Source organism: Homo sapiens, chromosome 8 (assembly GCF_000001405.40).
Source record: "Homo sapiens chromosome 8, GRCh38.p14 Primary Assembly".
NCBI classification, from domain to species: Eukaryota; Metazoa; Chordata; class Mammalia; order Primates; family Hominidae; genus Homo; species Homo sapiens.
Window position 1 is genome coordinate 81,870,649 of NC_000008.11, and position 19,963 is coordinate 81,890,611.

At 36.8% G+C, this 19,963-nt stretch overlaps 1 long non-coding RNA gene across 8 annotated transcripts in view, besides 1 other annotated feature; it reads left to right on the plus strand.

The window, feature by feature from the left end:
• Positions 1-19,963, plus strand: part of LINC02235 (long intergenic non-protein coding RNA 2235) — an 81,042-nt gene that overhangs the window by 28,030 nt on the left and 33,049 nt on the right. For 6 of the 8 annotated variants that reach the window (NR_170318.1, NR_170315.1, NR_170316.1 and 3 more), the window contains one exon: positions 2,754-2,870. The exons of 1 other annotated variant lie outside the window; for it this stretch is intronic. This is a non-coding gene — a long non-coding RNA (long intergenic non-protein coding RNA 2235). Of the gene's footprint in view, positions 1-2,753; positions 2,871-3,618; positions 3,729-19,963 lie in introns of all 8 variants that reach the window. One more of the 8 variants, NR_170313.1, reaches the window with a different exon arrangement.
• Positions 13,142-13,308: a silencer, noted in NCBI's record as "fragment chr8:82796025-82796191 (GRCh37/hg19 assembly coordinates)". NCBI's record gives its function as "represses an EF-1alpha promoter that drives an FKBP-Casp9 reporter gene in an ReSE screen in K562 erythroleukemia cells {active_cell/tissue: K562}" and the evidence as "EXISTENCE:reporter gene assay evidence [ECO:0000049][PMID:32094911]".

A 19,963-nucleotide genomic window follows, 5' to 3' on the forward strand; every position in this document is an offset into this window, starting at 1 on the left:
ATATTGAATGGGAGATATGCTCCTATACAAGAGAAGAAACAGCAATCATGGATTGCCAAGTAAGTGATGAAAGTACCTGTTCAGGGTGCCTTTTGTTGAGGAACTGCCTTCCTTAGGAGGTACCACATTCTGCTACAGTAACTCAAGAGCCTGGATATCTTCTAAATAAATACATTATAATGGCAGTCTCTCTCTCTCTCTCTCTCTCTCTCTCTCTCTCTCTCTCTCTGTGTGTGTGTGTGTGTGTGTGTGTGTGTGTGTGGACACACCAGAAATCATTGAAAGAATCTAACTATTTATCTTAGATTTTTCCTCTATTCCCAAAACTTGTTTTATATCAATAATATTCACTTTAAAAGAACGTTTAGGAGATAATATAGTCTTTATGGAAATTTTTAAAAAGAGCTGCTTAGATGATACAGTTAGAGTCTATGAAGAGCCACCTTGTGGCAAAAGTTAGCATTTCACATTTATATATTTTTAAAGAAAAAATTACAAGCGGCTCTAAAAGAAATCTATTGAATAGCAAAATGAAAGTATTGATATTGTATACAAGTCAGATAATATGGTTTCTGAGATATATAGTGTTGATTTTAACAGCAAATATTATTCAAAGTCACTTATTGAGAATTTAAGAAACCTAGAGTAACACATGCAGCAGATGTTACATCCACCAATGAATTTATATTTTAAATAACAATGAAAATAAACTCATCCACTAGTTTATATTTAAAATGTAATTTCATTTGTATTTAAGAGGGCCAAGTTGCCTCATAGTACTCTCAGTTTCAGCACTAACTTTGTCCTTAAAAATGAAAACTTAAAAAGTATATTCAATTAGTTTTTTTGATATTTAATTTTAATAAAGCTTATTTGTATATTTCAATATATTTACATAACTTCAATTGTAATCCTGTATCAATAATCAAGAATATTAAATTTCCTTTTTGATTCAATTGTAACATTGATACCTTTGCAATTTTTCCTCATTTCCTTTCTTATGCTTTGGCAACTAACTAAACTTTTCTTTTTTAAATTAATTCCCAATTTTTAAGTTTTTCATAAAACTTTCCCATTTAATTGAATGTGGTAGGAAATTTGCAATTTTTAATGAGTATTCATAATGTACACTCAAGAATAAATAGCCACACCACTGTAGAGCTATCTTTCTCTTTTCCTTTCTCCACTGGCGCTTTGAAAACTTGCTGGAAGTGCTGAGGTTAATTCAGCATATTACTATCTGCCCTTCCCTTCTCCTACCCTATCTAGTTTCCTTCATTCCTGGTCTCCAAATTTCATATGATATCAGTGCTTGTCTGGTAACGGTCGGGGATGGGGTCAGGATAGGTGGTAATGTAGGTATTGGCATGGAAATATAGCAGGGAGATTTGGAATCTATATATCACAGATAGCAAGAAGCATAGCACAAGAAGCAGGAATGAATTGGAATGAAAATGAGAGAAAGAGAAAACAATGGGTCATGCTGTTACTCCTGACTAACAAAACCTCTCTGTGGTTCCGTGCTTCTTTTCCCATTCCTCAGAACTCTTCTTCCTCTCAAACCACCTCTCTCATCCAACCTCGTCTTAATTATTTTCCTTTCACCAGCTGTCAGTTTACAGATTATTCTTAGAACAGTGGTTCTCAAACTTTGGATTTCAGGACCATTTCATGCTCTTTAAAATTACTGAAAGAATCCCAAAGAGCTTTTGTTTTTGTGAGTTACACAGGAGCTCTTTGTCACCATCATATTGAACTTGTTTGGTCTCAGTATGGAATTCACAAGTTATCATGTCAGGTCAGTCGAGTGATTCTTTTTGTTTTCTTTGTGTTTTTGTTGCTCTAACTGGAGTGGGACCATATGATGCAGTGTGGATAGCTGCATACAAGCATTAAGACTCTTGAGAAAATACAGTGCACCAGGAAAACTACTATGAAAACTATCAGAGAATAATGGCAAAAGACTGAATAAAGTGCACTCCTAATAGGAACTCTCCTGAACTGAACAAATTAAAATCAGACAAATTTTTAAAATAAGTCAGAAGATGAATCTACTTGTTTTAACCAAGTAGCTTGTTTGTTGATTTCTTAAAATGGAGCTGCTGTCATACCAGACACATGTATCCAAGTGCAGCAAGAGATCTTAGCCATCACTCCCCATCTTCTGCCAGCCTCCCCACCCACCCTGCCCCAGTTCAGCCAACAGGTAGTCCAAAGCAATGCCGTTATCTAAAACAATCTTAGCAAGAGGATTTTTAAAAGGTTGCTGGGCAACTAAAGCCTTTGCAGTTGAGTCAGATATAGTAGCTAATGTTTAAGACAGAATTTTAATAATAACTTTACTTACATTTATGCCAATCCAGGGAAGGAGTATTCTACCAAAAATGCTCTCTAAATCTCAAGATCTCTCTACATGAGATATTTATGACTGCTGACAAATTCCTCTTTATTTTATAGAACAAATTAAGAGGTGTAGACCAATATTTAGTTTCCAATTGGTTATGGAGTGACAATAGTACTGTTAGAACTTCTAATCCACATTGGCCTCTTATTTTCCACTTATTGAGATATAAAGTTGTCCATGCATGCAGTTGATGATTAAATGCTCCACACATAAAATATCTCCTGGAAGGGCACAATAGGTAGTTCCCTGCGGGATGCCTGTGTGTTAGAGGTTACCAGTAGGGAAGCAATGGTAGTAATATTTATCCAAGGCTTCTTTGTCTTTCTTCTTTTTTTTTTTTTTTTGACAGTTTCACTCTTGTTGCCCAGGCTGGAGTGCAATGGTGTGATTTCAGCTTACTGAAACCTCCACCTCCTAGGTTCAAGAGATTCTCCTGCCTCAGCTTCCCGAGTAGCTGGAATTACAGGTATGTGCCACCATGCCCCGCTAATTTTGTATTTTTAGTAGAGATGGGGTTTCTCCATGTTGGTCAGGCTGGTCTCGAACTCCCAACCTCATTATTGCATGGTTGGAAGCTACTGACAGTTAAGGAATTGGGGTTATAAATTTGTCTATAAACTTTCAAATTATCTTTCTTTTGGTTTTCTTATTTTCTGGCATACTTTAACTACAAAACCCTCACTATGGGTTTTGCCTATTGTTAGATCTAAACAGTTAGATTTAAACATGGAACTTGAATATCTGACTCTAAAAGCCTCACGTTATAGAAAGCACCAGATGTGAAATTTGAATAAATAGTCACACTGAAAATAATGGTGAAATTTGTTACAGGGTAAACTTAAGGATCTCTAAAATCACGTAAGGGTTTAGGTTTAACATGACATATCCAACATTTAGTGCATTTCTCTGTGGAAGCTGTTGATTATCACAGAAGCCTTAATTATCACATTAGCTTGCCACATATAAGCAGAAAAGAAACACAGGGCAAAGTGGAAAAATAACAAAGGTTTCATGATGACAGAGGAGAGAAATTTTGATCTGTGACCTTGGAAAAGCTGTCCACACCTAGGATGTTGTCTGACTCTGAGGAGAAACCTCTCTGGTAAGTGTTATCTTGAGGTTTCCAACAGGAGTACAGTCCCAAGAGTTTGGAGAGATTCTCTTGAATTGAGAAATGTAGACCTAATACTCAAGGCCCTAAAATTTTGCTGCAGTGTGGCTGGTGAGAAGAACTTGGGATGATCCCTTCCTGTGGGGTTCAAGAGCAGTCTTTCTCCGGTGTCATTTCCAAAAGATCCAGTCTCCAGGTTCTAGGTCATAAAAGGTTTGTTTGTCCTCAGTTGGTGGATCATGAATGTTTTCTTTTAGTTGGTGAAAATATACTTTGGCATAACAACAATCATTGTTTCTTGATATATTCGGGTGTTCCAAAATATATGTAATAGTGTTATATCTGGAAAAAAGCCATGGTTTTTCTGTATTTTATTTTCATAGCCAATGTACTGCTTTACAGAAATACTTTAAAATACTGGAGTTTCCACTCCAGCCTGGGCAACATTGCAAGACTCCATCACAAAAAAAAAAAAAAAAAAAAAGCTGGAGTTTCTACCTATTAATATAAATTTTTCCAAGAAAAAGATAAGGGACAACATTAAAACTTCACAATTATACTGTAACCCTTGACTGTGTTTTCAGAAGTTGTTTGGGATGAATAAAATTGTTCAGGTTGTAATGAGTTTTAGAGAAGATGAGGAAAATGGATGAATTGGAAAATAAAGTATGTCTCTTAATTGAAAAGAGACTATGATTGTTTCTTTCCTATCTAAATCAAATTATTATGACAGTGGTTTCAGGCAATTAGAAAGAGGAATTATTCTCTGGAAATAATGACCTCATTATATAACAAAAAAATACAAGTAAAAAAAACTTCAGTTGTCCTTCCACTAAAATAAATGATTTAAAAAGTGAAAATATTCGTATTGTTTATCTGCAGAATTCATTTTTTTCCTCAAAATAATATACATATAGACATTAGAAGATAGGTGTCTGATTTTTTTTTTTTGAGATAGGGTTTCACCCTATTGCCCAGACTGGAGTGCAGTGGCATGATCTTGGCTCACTGCAGCCTTGACTTCCTGGGCTCAAGCAATTCTCCTACCTCAGTCTTCTGATTAGCTGGGACTATAGGCATGTGCCACCACACCCAGCTCATTTGTGTGGGTTTTTTTTTTTTTTTTTTTTTTTTTGTACAGACAGGGTTTTGCCATGTTGCCCAGGCTGATCTCAAGTGATCTGCCCGCCTTGGCCTCCCAAAGTATCAGCATTACAGGCATGAGCCACCACAACTGGCCAGGTATCTGATTCTTTACCAGAATTTTCATTTGGGCCACTATGATATATAAACTACCTAGGCAAAGGAAGTGAAACTATATAAATACATAAAATATTGCATAAATATTTAGGGTAAAATGTTTATGATTTTATGGGTTTATTTTCATAAAAGTTTCAGGAAATTAATTATTAAATTTATAACTTGAATATAATTTTAAATTTAGAAATATAATCTACATTTTCATATCATACATACTAATAAAAACACAATCCCAGAACATGAATGAAACAGTACATTGGACATTGAGTGTCTCAAATATTGATGCTTTTATAAAGATGCCATCATGTGCCATCTGGGAGAAGAAATACTTTCAACAATTTATTTTTTAACTTTTAGGGAAAATGATCTCCCTAAACTCCAGTAGTCACTAGACTTTTTAATAATGTGAAAAAGTACCAATTTATAGCCTCAAGAACAAATACTAATTGTCCAAATCCGGATGTTAGAAATAATTCCTAAAGCTTTCAATCATTTTGCTTTTCCCATTTACCAGTACATGGACCATGCAAACATTATTCAGGCATAGCTTTTCAACTCATAGAATTATCTTGATCATGACTTCCACATTTTGGAAATGAGGAAATTTGGTAAAATCATGTAATAATACTTATTTGCCTGTCTATTGATCCATATCTATCTAGTTAAAATATCTATTGATTGATCTGCCAATCTATTCATATGTCTCTTACCAGTCTACCTATGGCACATACACAGTGCATGCTGCTGTTCCTTCTACTGAACACATACTATCTTCTGCATATATACAGTGTTAGCTATCCTTTTCTATTTTTGTATAACGTTCTATAGATTGAATATTTAGAATAGAGGAATTTGGGGGTTAAATGCTCATAGAATCATATCAAGTCAATTCATCCTTAAATTGTGGGTATTGTTTGAAATATTTTCTTTGTTTTGAACCAGAACTTCAAATTCTAACCTTTGAGCCTCATTCTTCTAAAAAGCAGACCTAATCTTTCCTGAAATACTGATCTCGTTTCTAGCCCTAGTGTTTGTTTCTCCTTTCATCTTCAACCCAACCCTCTCCTACAGGCTTTCACACCAAGCTTTGGGGCTTTGTTTTAGGTACGTATCTCTAAACAAAAAATGTGTGTGTGTACAAATACACATATGTACCATCTCTTTATGGTTACTTTTCTTTCTGTGTTTTGGCTATTAATCTTATTCTCCACAAGTCTTAGTTGCAAACAATTCCTAAAGTTGTCACATGTGTTTATAACAATGAGTAGAAAAGGGGTAAAACAATAAATTTGAGATGATAAACCAATATGATTAAAAACAACCTTATAATTCTAATTCAGATTCCTTCTGTATGCTGCTTTCAAATGTAAATCTTCCAGAAATAGCCTTGCTCAAATCAGTTTCTCAAAACTTTTCATCAGCTCCACACTGTTTAAGGAATAAAGTACAAATAGTGTAAAATACCCTTTCATCCATCTTGCCAACTTTACCTACCACAATTTTTTTCATCAAAAACTTTAACAAAATATATCTGGTCATTATTTCCTAGTAGTCAGGCTATTGCAGAGGAGCCAGGATGCCTACGTTTAATTTTTACTTTGCCATCTCCTCACTGCATACTTTGTATACATTTGTTAAATTGACTCTATTTAACTAAAAAATTATGCCGCACTAAAAAACTAGTAATAATATTTATGCTGTAGGATTATTTTACAGAGAAAAAGTTGTAATACATGTAAAAACACAAAATTGTGCATGGCACATGGTAAGAATTCAATGTATATTAGCAAAAAATGGCAGGTATGCCTCATTGAGTTTACTTTTAAGTACCATTCATTTTTCCTATAAAATCATTACTTTTTTTCTCTTTGTTTAAGCCCTCCCTTCCTTCAAGACGTATTTCATCCTTTAGTGAAGGATGTAATATCTTTTATCCTTCAGCAATATCTCTTCTTCTGAACTTGTGTGTTTCTTCTCTGTGTCATTGATGCAGGGCTTAGGTAGGGTGACCACATTATTTTTATTGTTCAGGTTGGGACTGTGGATATGGAAAGTGAGTACTATTGATTATTAAACTGAGATAACAGGCATAGATTGGATGTGACCAGGGCAAAGGGACAGATGGTTACCCTATGAATAATGGAACCGTAAGTGATCAAACCTGTTATTATCAAATCAAAGCAAACTTTATCTTTGTATGCAAATTATTATGGCAAATATCCCATCAACTTAATTATCAGGAAATGAGAGTCATCAAAATGAACCTTAGCTGTTTCTGGCTATTCCCAGAGTACTGGTTCTCATCTGGTCCAGCACAAACCCTTATGTTTCTCCTGTTCAAGCTTCTTCATTTGATCCTCACGCTTCTGTCTTCTTGACTGCTGATCTTTAGTAGAGGGCCACTCCACCTGGTGCGGCTGCGTTAGCCAGCTCCACCGACTCTAACTCTCTCCTCTCCACCCTCACACTCACATCCTTTTCCAGGGTCTAGAGAGAAGAAACTGCTCTCACTTGTATCATTCCTTCCCAAAATGCAAACAGCAGGCCTTTCTTAATTATCCACAACAAAACTGAGACCATTATACTATTTGCTTAGGCTTTAATGAAGCATCATGGATAAAAGAAGTGTTTATATCAGAGAATTCCTAACAACCATTACCCCTAAATATGCCCACATCTGTAGTGACATGGGTTGGCTGTGTACCCATCCACCCATCCAAATCTCATCTTGAATTGTAGTTCCCATAATCCCCACATGTCATGAGAGGGACCAGGTGGAGACAATTGAATCATGGGGGAGATTTCCCCCATCCTGTTTTCGTGATAGTGAGTGAGTTCTCATGAGATCTGGTGGTTTTATAAGGGGATTTTCCCCCCCTTTTGCTCTGCACTTCTCCTTGCTGCCATGATGTGAAGAAGGACGTGTTTGCTTTCTCTTCTGCCAGGATTGTAAGTTTTCTTAGGCTTCCCCAGACGTGTGGAACTGTGAGTCAATTAAATATCTTTCCTTTATAAATTACCCAGCTTTGGGTATGTCTTTATTAACAGCATGAGAATGGACTAATATAATAGTTACTTATAAGCTTATTCTTTGCCTTGTTTTCAGCCTTTCTCCTCTGACCAGGGACAGCTCAAACCCTACCATTTGAACCACTCCATAATTCTCAGATTTTTTTTCATTCATCAAATAGTCCTTAGAAAGAGGCAAGTTTCCTCTATAATCCAGCTCTCCGCTCACACTCTCTGGTTTAACCCCTTTTAGGATCATTGACAATAGTAAAAATGCTCCTTTTTGGAGGTACTCTGCCCTATTCCCTAAAGATTGGTCTGGTTCTAATGTCCTGGATTAGATAATCATAAAAGCCTAACATCATTATAGTTTTGCAAATCTTGGTATTTAGCTTAATTCATCATCACCTTGTTACGAGTGTCTGGTACTTCATTATTTGTCTTTTCATAAATAAAGCCAGGCGTGGTGGCTCACACCTGTAATCCCAGCACTTTGGGAGGCCGAGGCTGAGATGGATCACTTGAAGTCAGAAGTCGAGACCAGTCTGGCCAACATAGTGAAACCCCATCTCTACTAAAAATACAAAAATTAGCCAGGCGTGATGGTGGGCACCTGCAATCCCAGCTACTCGGGAGGCTGAGACACGAGAATTGCTTGAACCTGGGAGGTGGAGGTTGCAGTGAGCCAAGATCACAGCACTGCACCCCGGCCTGGGTGATAGAGCGAGACTCAGTCTCAAAAAAAAAAAAAAAATATATATATATATATATATAATCTGTATCCTCTACTACATTGTCCTTCAGGACAGTTATTTCCTTTGGGGTACTTGCTAGGGCAAGTTTCCTGTTACACAGACTGTGCTTAATAAAATTTTCTGTGTTTGATGAGTGTGAGTTAGTACGGTAATATGTAACATTCTCGGCTTATGAAACATCTATTCCTCCCTCAAGTATTGTTTCATTTTTACACAGTAGTTCACACATAGAACAACTTGCCATGAATCTTCAAGAGAACTCAAGTTCTCTTGAGAGCCATGTAGCTTACTGATCTACTCCATACATTCTCCTTCTGGCCTATGCTACTTATATTGTAACAACTTCCCTCCTGGGACAAGTTGGTCTTATACTCTTTACCTCAAGCACAGGGCAGCACAGACCTTGGTGAAAGGAAGGTTTCACTGGAAAGCGAAATCCACAAGATTTTTGTGTCACAAAATCACCAAGACTGGTGCTGGGCTTACCATGGTGATTGGTGTTAGGAAATCCACCCCCCTCCCCACCTCCACCTGAATATTATCTTTCTCTGAACATACCTGTCAGCAAAACTTCAGTGGCGTGTTCTGGCAACTCCTCAATTGTTTAATACAAACTATTTCTCTCAAGTATAAATTTTCCTCTTTCAACTCTGATAGTGTTCACATAATAATATATCTTTGCCAACCAATGCTTTCTGTATGTGCCCCTTTGAATATCAAACATGACACAAAACCAGGAAGGTCTTGCTCTTTTATGAGTGCAATGTTTCTTTCTATCATTCATGTTGACCTGGTGTCAGCAGCTCTTTTACCAGACACCATCATCAGCACTTACAGTTAACCACAGAGATGTATTCTCAGATTTTGACCTCTGTTTTATACACTGAGGATAAAGGAGCAGAAACAGAAAATGATGAAAAGACAGAAAAGGTAACCCTAAATCAAATTTTTTATCATTTGTTATAATTTAATAGTTTTTAAAAAGTACATATTTATTTTAGTTAAATATATTGAAATCTTCCAAACAATAGCAGAACTATTTTTTTTTTTTATTTCACTGACTGCTATAGAATTTTAAGGCTTTCCGTTTTTTCTGGGCATGATAGTATTTTTGGTTTTTAAAGCAAGTAATTAAATCACAACTTAGTTTTTGGTGATAGGATGATATTATTTATTTTATTAAGAATATTATACTGAAAAGTATGGAATTTAATTTAAGGGAATTTTAAATTAATATTTGTTGGGGATCATTGGGAGGAAAAATAAATATTACCTCTTTTCCCCAAGAAGCAAGGCAGATGGAAGTCTGAATATTATCTGTATCCCACGTAAAGCTAGTATTTCAGAATGTGCCCTGTATTTGCAGACAAATGTATTTTTGAATACTGAATTTTGCAATTATGCAAATTTTCTCACCAAGTTATAGCTGTCCGGACTAAGGAAGCCGTCTCTCCCGCATACATACATGCCATAAACCAAGAGACAGGAATCCGGCTGGAGCTGAGCTGACTGTCCACTCGTTGTAGGCAGGGCCTTCCTAAGAAAATGGAAAGAGCAGGCTGGGCATGGTGGCTCACGCCTGTATTCCCAGCACTTTGGGAGGTCGAGGTGGGCGGACGACCTGAGGTCAGGAGTTTGAGACCCGTCTGGCCCACATGGTGAAACCCCGTCTCTACTAAAAATACAAAAAAATTAGCCAGGCATGGTGGCGCATGCCTGTAGTCCCAACTACTTGGGAGGCTGATGCATAAGAATCACTTGAACCCCGGAGGCGGAGGTTGCAGTGAGCTGAGATCGCGTCGCTGCACTCCAGCCTGGGTGACAGAGTGAGACTTTGTCTAAAAAAAAAAAAAAAAAAAAAAAGGAAAGAGCAGACAGGGCTTTGCATACCTAGTTTCCCCTTCCAGACTCACCTGTCATATAAGTCACTCAAGGAATTGACGAGTGAGGGGGTAGATAGAGGCCAAGAATGTTTTACTAATGGGATTCCCTCTGCATCAAAGAAAACACCAGGAGTGGGCAGTAAACATCTGTCACCATCAAAATTTCTTTTGTTCTCTTAATCCATTGGACTTAACTATTAAATCTTTCTTCAACCAAAGGTATGAACGTACACTGGGAAGGTGAACAGCAGCCTCTCAGGATGACCCTTCCCTCCTCCACTTGTTTGAGGCTGCTCTGAAAATACTAGTTATTGCTCCTTTGAGTACCTGCTGGGACCACTGGTAGGCCCTATGGATTTTACATATAGAGGCTTACAATAGGTCATAGTGATAGGCAATTAAATTAAGTCCTCCAAGGCCACCGTGTACCCAAGCATGAAGTTTACTTATATGCTACTTGATATCCCTAATATGTCCAGCTACATATCCAAAATGGCCTATCAGAAGTTCTTCAAAGACAGCAAATGACAAATCATAAAATACAACCCCTTTCCTACTACCAAATTCCTAGGGAGAAGTTTTAAACTCAATTTCTCTTTCAAGTTGTATCCACCAGGTCATAGTAGGAAGCAGATGGTACACTCAAACTGGGCAGTTGAATTTAACAAAGGGAATGTTTACACTGATGTGGACACAGTGTAGGGAAGCCAACAAGGATGGCCATCGCTCTTGAGTTATCAATAGACAGTGCCTGTTACCACCTTAGGCCTGAAGAAGCATGGGGAGGAAAAGATTTTTGGAATCTAAACAATGTAGTTATATGGAAAGTGATGCCTTAAATAGAGGGATGCCACCAACTCCTGGTAAACCAGCAGAGAAGGAACCAAGGGGAAAAAATACCCTGACCTACTTTCCTTCCTATCCTATTGGTGCTTTCCACTGGCTGAATCCAGCGGGAAGTCAGAGGAAGGGAGACTATGCAGCCTCTGGGGCACAGAGCAGGGTATAGAGTAGATCTGTAGGAGCAAGCAGAAAAAAATCTGGCTCATAAATTCAAATTTAAGAAGAAGAGTGAAGGAAATAAAGTCCAAAAATCAAATTCTCTTGCCCTTGTGTTGTAAGATGCTAAAGAAATCCATTCTTTTTAGCTTAATATTCTACTCAGTCTCAGCTAGAGGGGTTCTAAGTGCTTGGTAAGGTTGGAGTTCTTTTAAAAGCTGCAACCTGGGCTATCTGTTACTGAAATGGGTGTAGCTCCTTCAGGGCCTCAGAAGTTCTATTAGCTTAATGCCCAATGATTGGCGAACTACACTTTAAAGAGTCCAAATGATAAATAGGACACACCAGATGGTCACAGCCCTAGGCCCATACCCAGCACATTTTGAAATGAGCCAATCTTCAGTCCCAGAATGCAAGGCAAATAATGTTCCCAGAATCTAGGACCCGGGATCTAGTCTAATTAAATATTGCTGCCAAATACCACAGCATAGGCTCAATGGTATTTGGGTGAAGGAGCTCAGGCTGAGAAAATATTCTTGGTTTACCTATAATGCTAGCCACTTTATGCTAGTTATCCAGAATTTGTAAACTCAATGGGGAGGAATTAGCAAGAGATTAATTTTAGCATGTACATGGGGGAAACAATTTACCTTGTTGAGCTGTCTCCTTTCCCAGATTGTAGCATTTGAGACACTGCTGCTGTTTTTCAAAGTTTAGAAATTTTTAATGGTGGAAGCTCCAGAGAGCAAAACTTATTTGAGAACACCCTCTCCCATCCCATATTCAGAGCCTTTTATTTTTGTATGTCTCTTTTGTACTGTTCATCTACGTCTGACACTGATAACGCAAACCTAGAACTTTATGAGTACAGTGTAGTATATGTAAAACTCAGATTCAGCATTGCTAAATCCTTTCCACATAATACTAGCAAATGTTGTTCTGCCTCCTAATGTTTAATAGACCTAGGTATAAAAAGACTGTTTCTTACATTTGAATCTTTGCCTCAGCCACACCTGTTTAGGAAGCTGCACCTGAATGGTCGAAGCTGAAACAGCACTATCTTGTATCCTAAATCAGCCCAAGTCTGCTATAGATCAACCATTTGATGAAGCTCTCAACCCCACATTTCTTACGGTGATTATCCAGTTTAGTCTTAGTGTATATGGCACTGTCCTTGAAGAAAGAGCTTCCATAGGCTGTGGTTACCACCAAATGAAAAAATACCATGGAACCTAAAACTTAAAGCCTTTCAAGCCAGGGCAGAGGAACAAAACAAAACAAAAAACAACAAAATTGCACAATTGCAAACTTCTAGATAAGCTTGATATAAATTTCTATACATCACCAACTCAAAACTGAAGCCATATATCACAGCTACTTTGGAAAAATCCTCAGTCACTATTGGTGTTAAGTCTGTTGCCCAAATTCAATTCTTATTTTGGTTACAAAGACCTTGGCCTCATGTACTAGGTATTTCCTCCCTCAAAAACAAATGCTGACCTCTTTACCCACCTTTATAAGAGTAAATCTTATATATTTGCTTGGAGCAGTAAAAAGCATAATCTTTTGAAAGGAGTTCAGCTGCCAAAAGGAGAAGAGAACTAGCTAGGTAATAACACATGCCGTTTCTCCTGTGGCAGCCAGGAAAATGCACTGCTTGCATCTTCTGCAGCAGGGAACATAATTGACTGACTGCCCCAATTTCTGCCTCTCTCGATCCAACTCTGTAATTACTCAGAAGCTTTGCTACTTGTGGGCTACTCCCAGTCAGTGACTGAGCACTGCTTAGGGACTGTGCTAGTCCATTCGTGCAGACTCCTCTAATGGGCCCATTATGAGGTCCCACATTGGCCTTGTCAATCCTCTCTTGGAAATAAGAGGCTGCAACCTGAGACTCTTCTTACCCAGTTCTACCAAATAAGCACCAGACTTGCATCTCTCCTTCATTGTCTCCCTTCCCCTCATCCCTCGTAGGCATTTCCCCCCAAAGAACCTCTTGCATGTTTAATCCCATCTTAGATTTTCTTAGGGTTTAAACTAACACACCTTCCAGACTCATCGTATTGTTGGATAATCTCTCCTAGAACTTAAAAGCAGGTGAATTTTAAATTCTCTAAATTTAAATGTTAAATTTTAAATTCTTTAAATTTAAATGTTAAATTTTAAATTCCATTCTGGGACCTCATAAACATGGGTTCTTAGAGGCGAAAAAAAAAATTAAAAAAATTAAATGAGATAAATAATGAAATGTTACTCATATTTGCTTTTGAACTTATTTAGAAACATATTTTACTGAAGTTTATATGATTGAAAATTCTTTTTGTAAGACAAGTATTAATTGTTGGGTTATGATAAACAAATCGTCACTACTTTGTGTCATACTTAGCTTTTAGCTTTAAACAACAGAAAATTGGTCAATGTATTGACCACATATAGACTATGGTATAGTTAGACATATGCACTTGAATTCCCAACCAGAGTCCCTTATAGGGATTTCACTTTATACACTGATACTTACTCAATCCTAGGTTGGCATTATTGTCTATGGCCTCGCATATGAGTTGGTAATAGGAACAAGATTTTTTTCTGTTGTTTTAAATAGTGTACAGAGGGGATATTTCATTCAAAAATATGGATCATCTAGCCCACTCGTTTTGGTAGATACAATGTTTTATTACTCTAAATATTATATATGCATTATATACATTCTGTTGTATATAGGAAATATTTCATAAGTTTTGTTTTTTACAAAATTTACTAATTTATACACTACCAGGTAGCTATATAAATGTGGTCGTTTCACCATGTGCTCACAAAGATTGATGATTTTTACTCATTAACATTTTTACCTCTTTATTCAGGTTCAGTCACTATCTCTTGATGGGTAGTCAAATAGGCTTTTGAGTACCTCTGAATGATTTTCCATTTCTTGAAGTGTTCAGAAGTTCTTCATCTTAGACACTGGTCTCTAATGTCTTTGAAAATACATGTTTTCTTCAATTGTGAACACACATTTTTCAGATTCAACATCACTTTTATTTGCTTTTGAAGATATGTCTTTCTTTACTGGTCTCCAAGTGATTATCCCTAATGTCTTCCGCCCCCAGCGCCAGGTGAATTTTGTGTATGCTATCTTGTCTATTTACTAAATTAGACTTTCTAATTGTCCACTTGTCTGTTGAAAAAATTCTATCTAGCTATGGTGACAGAAACACACATAAACATAAACATATTTATTTATTTTTTGACACCGAGTCTCACTGTGTCGCCCAGGCTGGAGTTCAGTGGCGCAATCTTGGCTCACTGCAACCTCTGCCCTCCAGGTTCAAAGGATTTTCCTGCCTCAGCCTCCTGAGTAGCTGGAATTACGGGCGTGTGCCACCCCACCTGGGTAATTTTTGTATTTTTAGTAGAAGTGGGGTATCACCATATCAGCCAGGCTGGTCTCGAACTCCAGACCTCAACTAATCCGCCTGCCTCGGCCTCCCAAAGTACTGGGATTACAGGTGTAAGCCACTGTGCCCGGACAACATATTTATTTAAATTGGGAAAATATATGGCTGTTAGAGTGACCAAAATGGGTATCATACAAAGAAATTTGTTCTCATAGGTTTTGGGATGGAATGGGAGAGTCAAGTACCCAAATGAGAATGCACCCATGATGCAGATGCACATTTTCTGAAAGCTAGAAATGACTGCTACATAAAAAAGCTGGTTGCAGTGGCATATGCCTATGGTCCCAGCTACTCGGGAGGCTGAGTCAGGAGGATCACTTGAGCCGAGGAGCTCGAAGCTAGCCTGGGCAACATAGTGATAACTTATCTCTAAAATAAAAGAAAAGAAATGACTCCTATAACCAAAACCCTGGGAAAGTTAAGAGATCCAGGAGTGCCACAGGAAAGAGCTAGTGCCTTGTGCAGCCAGTGGCAAAGGGAAGCCAAGAAGCTGTTTGTCTCTCTCTTCATTTTGTCCCAACTGAAAGACCTTCCACAAATGGGAAAATTTGCATGGCATAAGCAACCTTAGTTCCTATATACCATTTACTGCCTTAATGCTTGTTATTTTTAATTTGAATGTTAATGACAACTTATTTTTAGAATCTTGTAAAAACTTGTAAATTGAATGTGTACTATGTGTTTTAATTATTGTTTTAATTTCTTGGGGAGGAATTCAAGGAAGCCTATTTAGACATGCAGCTACAATTCCTTATTATACATATATACCTATATGTACATACTATTGCTTATAATATTGATTTCCAAGATGATGTCGTTGAAAGGCCTTTAGATAGAAGACTTTGTTTTGGTCACAATATTACTATTAAATAGGAAGTAATTTCTCTTTGTAGGGCCTTTACCTTTTTTATGCTAAACAATAAACAAGTGTGTTAGGTAAAATAATTTCAGTCTCCATTCAGTAATATGAATTTATTAGTTTGTCTTAATTTAAGAAGATGGTGAAGAATAATAGAGAATCTGTAACTTAATTTTGCACAAAATGATTCTCATGTATATGTACTTTCTACTTGGTCACACACTGACATTTATGAGGAAATTGTATTAGGAGGTTTTGAATATTTCTTACCTATATAACTTGAAATAGATTGTGAAGAATCAATAAAATTATTGAAATAGTTTTCATTATAAAGGTGGAAAAATTTTCTGTATGATAACATAACACTTCAAATAAATTTAGGAATACTGCAAACGGATTAATGTAAAATTAAATTATTGAACTTCAGGCATATTATATAATTTCATTTTTATTCATGTGGAAGAATAGAAACATAAACTAGTGGAGATAGTAGAATATTTTAGAGAGAAATAGTCAATTTAAGTGCAAGTAACTAAGAATGATTGTTGATAGGTGTTAAAAAAAAAAGAACCTCCCCCCCATTTTGATAATTATTGTGAAAGGTAATATACTTATTTGAGAAAAAAGTATCTAAATATTTATCTTTTTTTCAGATTGAGAGTATATTATCTTAAATTGTGACTCAAATATTTTGTCATTCTTGATTACAGTTGAGATTTTACTTAATATTACATTACATAAACCATTAGCTGAGAATAATTGAAGCATATTGCAAACCACTAAACATAATAATCTTTTGTAAAGAGTGAAGACTGGAAATGAGTTTTCAATTTTTTATAACAAAATTCCATTAGTGGTGGTTTATATATTTTTAGCCAGAAAGTATTTTTGCCAAATAATATCATATGTAAAACTGCAACTTAGGAATAGATTGAAAAATTGATTAGAATGATGCTGGTGGACCCAGAGTCCAATTTTCTTGGCCACTTAGTTCTCTCCTTTTTTTCCACCCAACAAGGCTCAATACTCTAGAACTCTGGGCATTGGAAAAGCAGTTTGAAAATCAATACCTTATTGCATAAAGTATGTAACTGTAGTATATGCAGTAAATTATTCTATAAATGGAGACATTAGCCTATAATATAACCAATATTTGAGAGACATTTTTTTATTTATGCATATAAAATACAAGTGATTGTTTTCTTACTAATAGAAATTAAATCTTTGCATCCTAAAGAGAGTTTAGACTAGACTATGAAAAAAGGGTAGTCTAGTTTAAAATGGTGCTCCTGATTACTTAGAAATAATCAAATGAACTACGGAGCTTCTATGTAGGAAATCAATGTGCATTCTCAAGAAAATGAAATAAATTATTGCTCCCAAGTTTGCTCAAACTGCTGCATTAAAATCCTGGCTAGAATCAGATGGTTGTGAAAAACACAGCACTGTTGATTTATCAAAATACTAGAAAACATATTTTATTTTGGGATCTTTTTATTGAGTGTCTCACTTTGGAAAGATTTAAAATAACGAGTTTCAGATCTGGATGTTTCTCCGGATGTTAATGAACTGCTCAGATGTACTCAGGCGAGGTTAGCTGGAAATCTCTCCAACATGTTTGATGGCATTTATATAATGTGATTGTCTTCATAGAATGTTTACCACTGAGCATCTTCCCGAGAAGCAGTCAATAAACACTTGACTGATAGCTCACAGAGCTACTAAGCTAACAGATGTCTTTGTTGACAGTCTCAGTATAGCCAAAGCAGATTTACTCATCATTGTTTACAAGTTTTCCCATCTTCCCCAGTTTTCTGTCAGGCTTAGTCATAAACACTGTACCATCTTCTCTGAGCATGTAATCTCAGATTCACCGTACTTTTTCACTTCTCATGACTCTAGTAGTCAACAAATCAAGAAACGTTATCATTTCCCTAATTCCACAAAGCCATAACTGTATTTTTCAACCAAAACCTGCCCTTGAGTCAGAATTGGATTATTCCACAGGCAAACCAGGCAAAGGTCTGTTGGGCCTCAGATTAACTCGTATTTTTCCAGAAAGGGAGAGGCAGCATCACCAGCTAGCTGTAACAATATTCTTGTCCTTGATAATGACATCACACTGGATGACACCAATCCTTGAAAACCTTCAAGGTAGCTTGATGTTATGGAAATTACCCATGCCCCTGAGCAGATTTTATTAGACACTTTTATTTGTGAGCCAATGGTATAATCACATTGTGCTAGGAACAACTAGAGAGAAACCAAGCGTGCACAGTCTATCACGTTAAGAACCTAAATATGGCTTGAGTGGCATTATTGTATTGTGGTGAAGAACACAGACTCTAGAGCCAGATCGCCTGAGTTCAAATCCCTCTTCTGTTGCTTACTACCTGTGCAACCTTGAGCAAGTTAAATCTTTTATCTCTTGATTTCTATGTCTTAAATGAGGATTATGAAAATAACTATCTCATGCAATTGTGATAATTAAATAAGTTAATATAGGTTACTTATAGGTCCCAAGTGCCTGACACGTAGTAAGCCCTATGTATATTTGCTACTGTACTTGACAGGGCACTTCTTTGTCTCTTTATTTCTCATTTGCTCATGCCACATATATTTTGAATTCATCAAGCTGAACTCCAAAAGCGGTAATGAGGAAAACACCTCTCTAGTATTTGTTTGTACTAACTGATGTACGTATGTGTGTGTATATGTATGTGTGTATGTATGTATGTGTGTGTTGCATTTGAAAGAGAAGGAGCTGAGAATAAAGCCAGCAGTTTGATATTTATCTGCAGGTCTATGGACTGGGTTTGAATGGCCATGTTTAAAAGACTGACAGAATGATAACTGTAAGAGAGATCTGGGAAGTGCCAAGCAGGCTGTGATGGTCAGAAGCTGAAGAAACTCTCCAGTGAGACTTTGTGAATAGCAAACAGTTACTCTGGAGTGTTGCAGAATAGCTTCTGAAGGCTGACTCTATTGATTAACCATCACTTACTGCACTTCACTTTAGTCTACTTGCCTAGTTCAAATAAATCGATACCCCCTTTAGTATTGGGCACTTGAACAAACAAACAAAAACATCCTATTTAGTGGGCACAAGCCCATAATAGGAAAAGCTAAGACTGAATAGTTTTTCAGGTCTCATTCTTCCACTTTTGGCTTCAGAGCAGAAAACCCTCGGTGATAGAATATTCTATCCCTGGAGCTTGGGCAGCTCCAGTGTGGTTCCTCCTAGGCCATGAGTAGCCAGGATCGATATCTTTTCAGTCCTGGGACAGTTGGAGAAAGGTCCATTCTGATGAATGCGTAATACCAATTGTAGCAGCCCAGTTGGTGAATAGAGCTCAGACCTTTCGAAGCATTTCCCCTACTGCCTTTCCAAAGACTTCTCTCTGTCAGGATCTTGCAGGTTCCTGTCTCTTAAGGCTGTCACAATGAGCTAATGACCCATTGGCTTATTTCCCCCTAGAATCGAGAAAGAGAAGGGAGGCCTCAATTACTGTGACGAGCCAGAAGACAGTAGCTTCTTGTTATTTGTGGTAATTGTGTTCTTATGTTTGAATTTTAATCAATCCAGTACATGTACGTAAGGAAAAATCAGTTTAAAAACTTATAGCAAACACAGTAGCTTTCTACCCCGCTCTTCTCCACCCCAGATCCTGCCCTTTAGAGGAGAGCTGCACGCGCTTCTTTGCATCTGTATAATTTCCACTATTTCTAAAGAATCTGCTTCTGCTGCTAGCTTTTGTTTTATTAATTTTAGGTATCTATTGGCTTCTGTTATTGTAGTTAAGGATGGATCTTATTTACATGACTTCCCCTTCCTACTGCCTCTCAATGTAGTTTTATCACTATTTTTGGTTTTCACTATCAATCTTTAGAATATTTTGACCACTGAACTACATGTAGATTGTACCATGATTATGTTTCATATCTTTCATGATAATTTTGACAGCTCTTGTTTGTTGTTCTCTACTCTCCTGTTTTCTTCATTCTTATGGAATTATATTTTTTCATTTATTTTCAATCTTGAGTAACTTGTTTTTGCTCCTTGAAAACTTGTAAAATTTTCTCTTTACCTTCTGTGTTAGTGTTCTGTGGTTGCTGTAATAAATTATCATAAATAGGGTGGCTTAAACAACAAAAAAATTATTCTCTTACAGTTCTGGAGAATAGAAGGCTGAAATCTGTATCACCTGGCCGAAATCAAGGTGTTGGC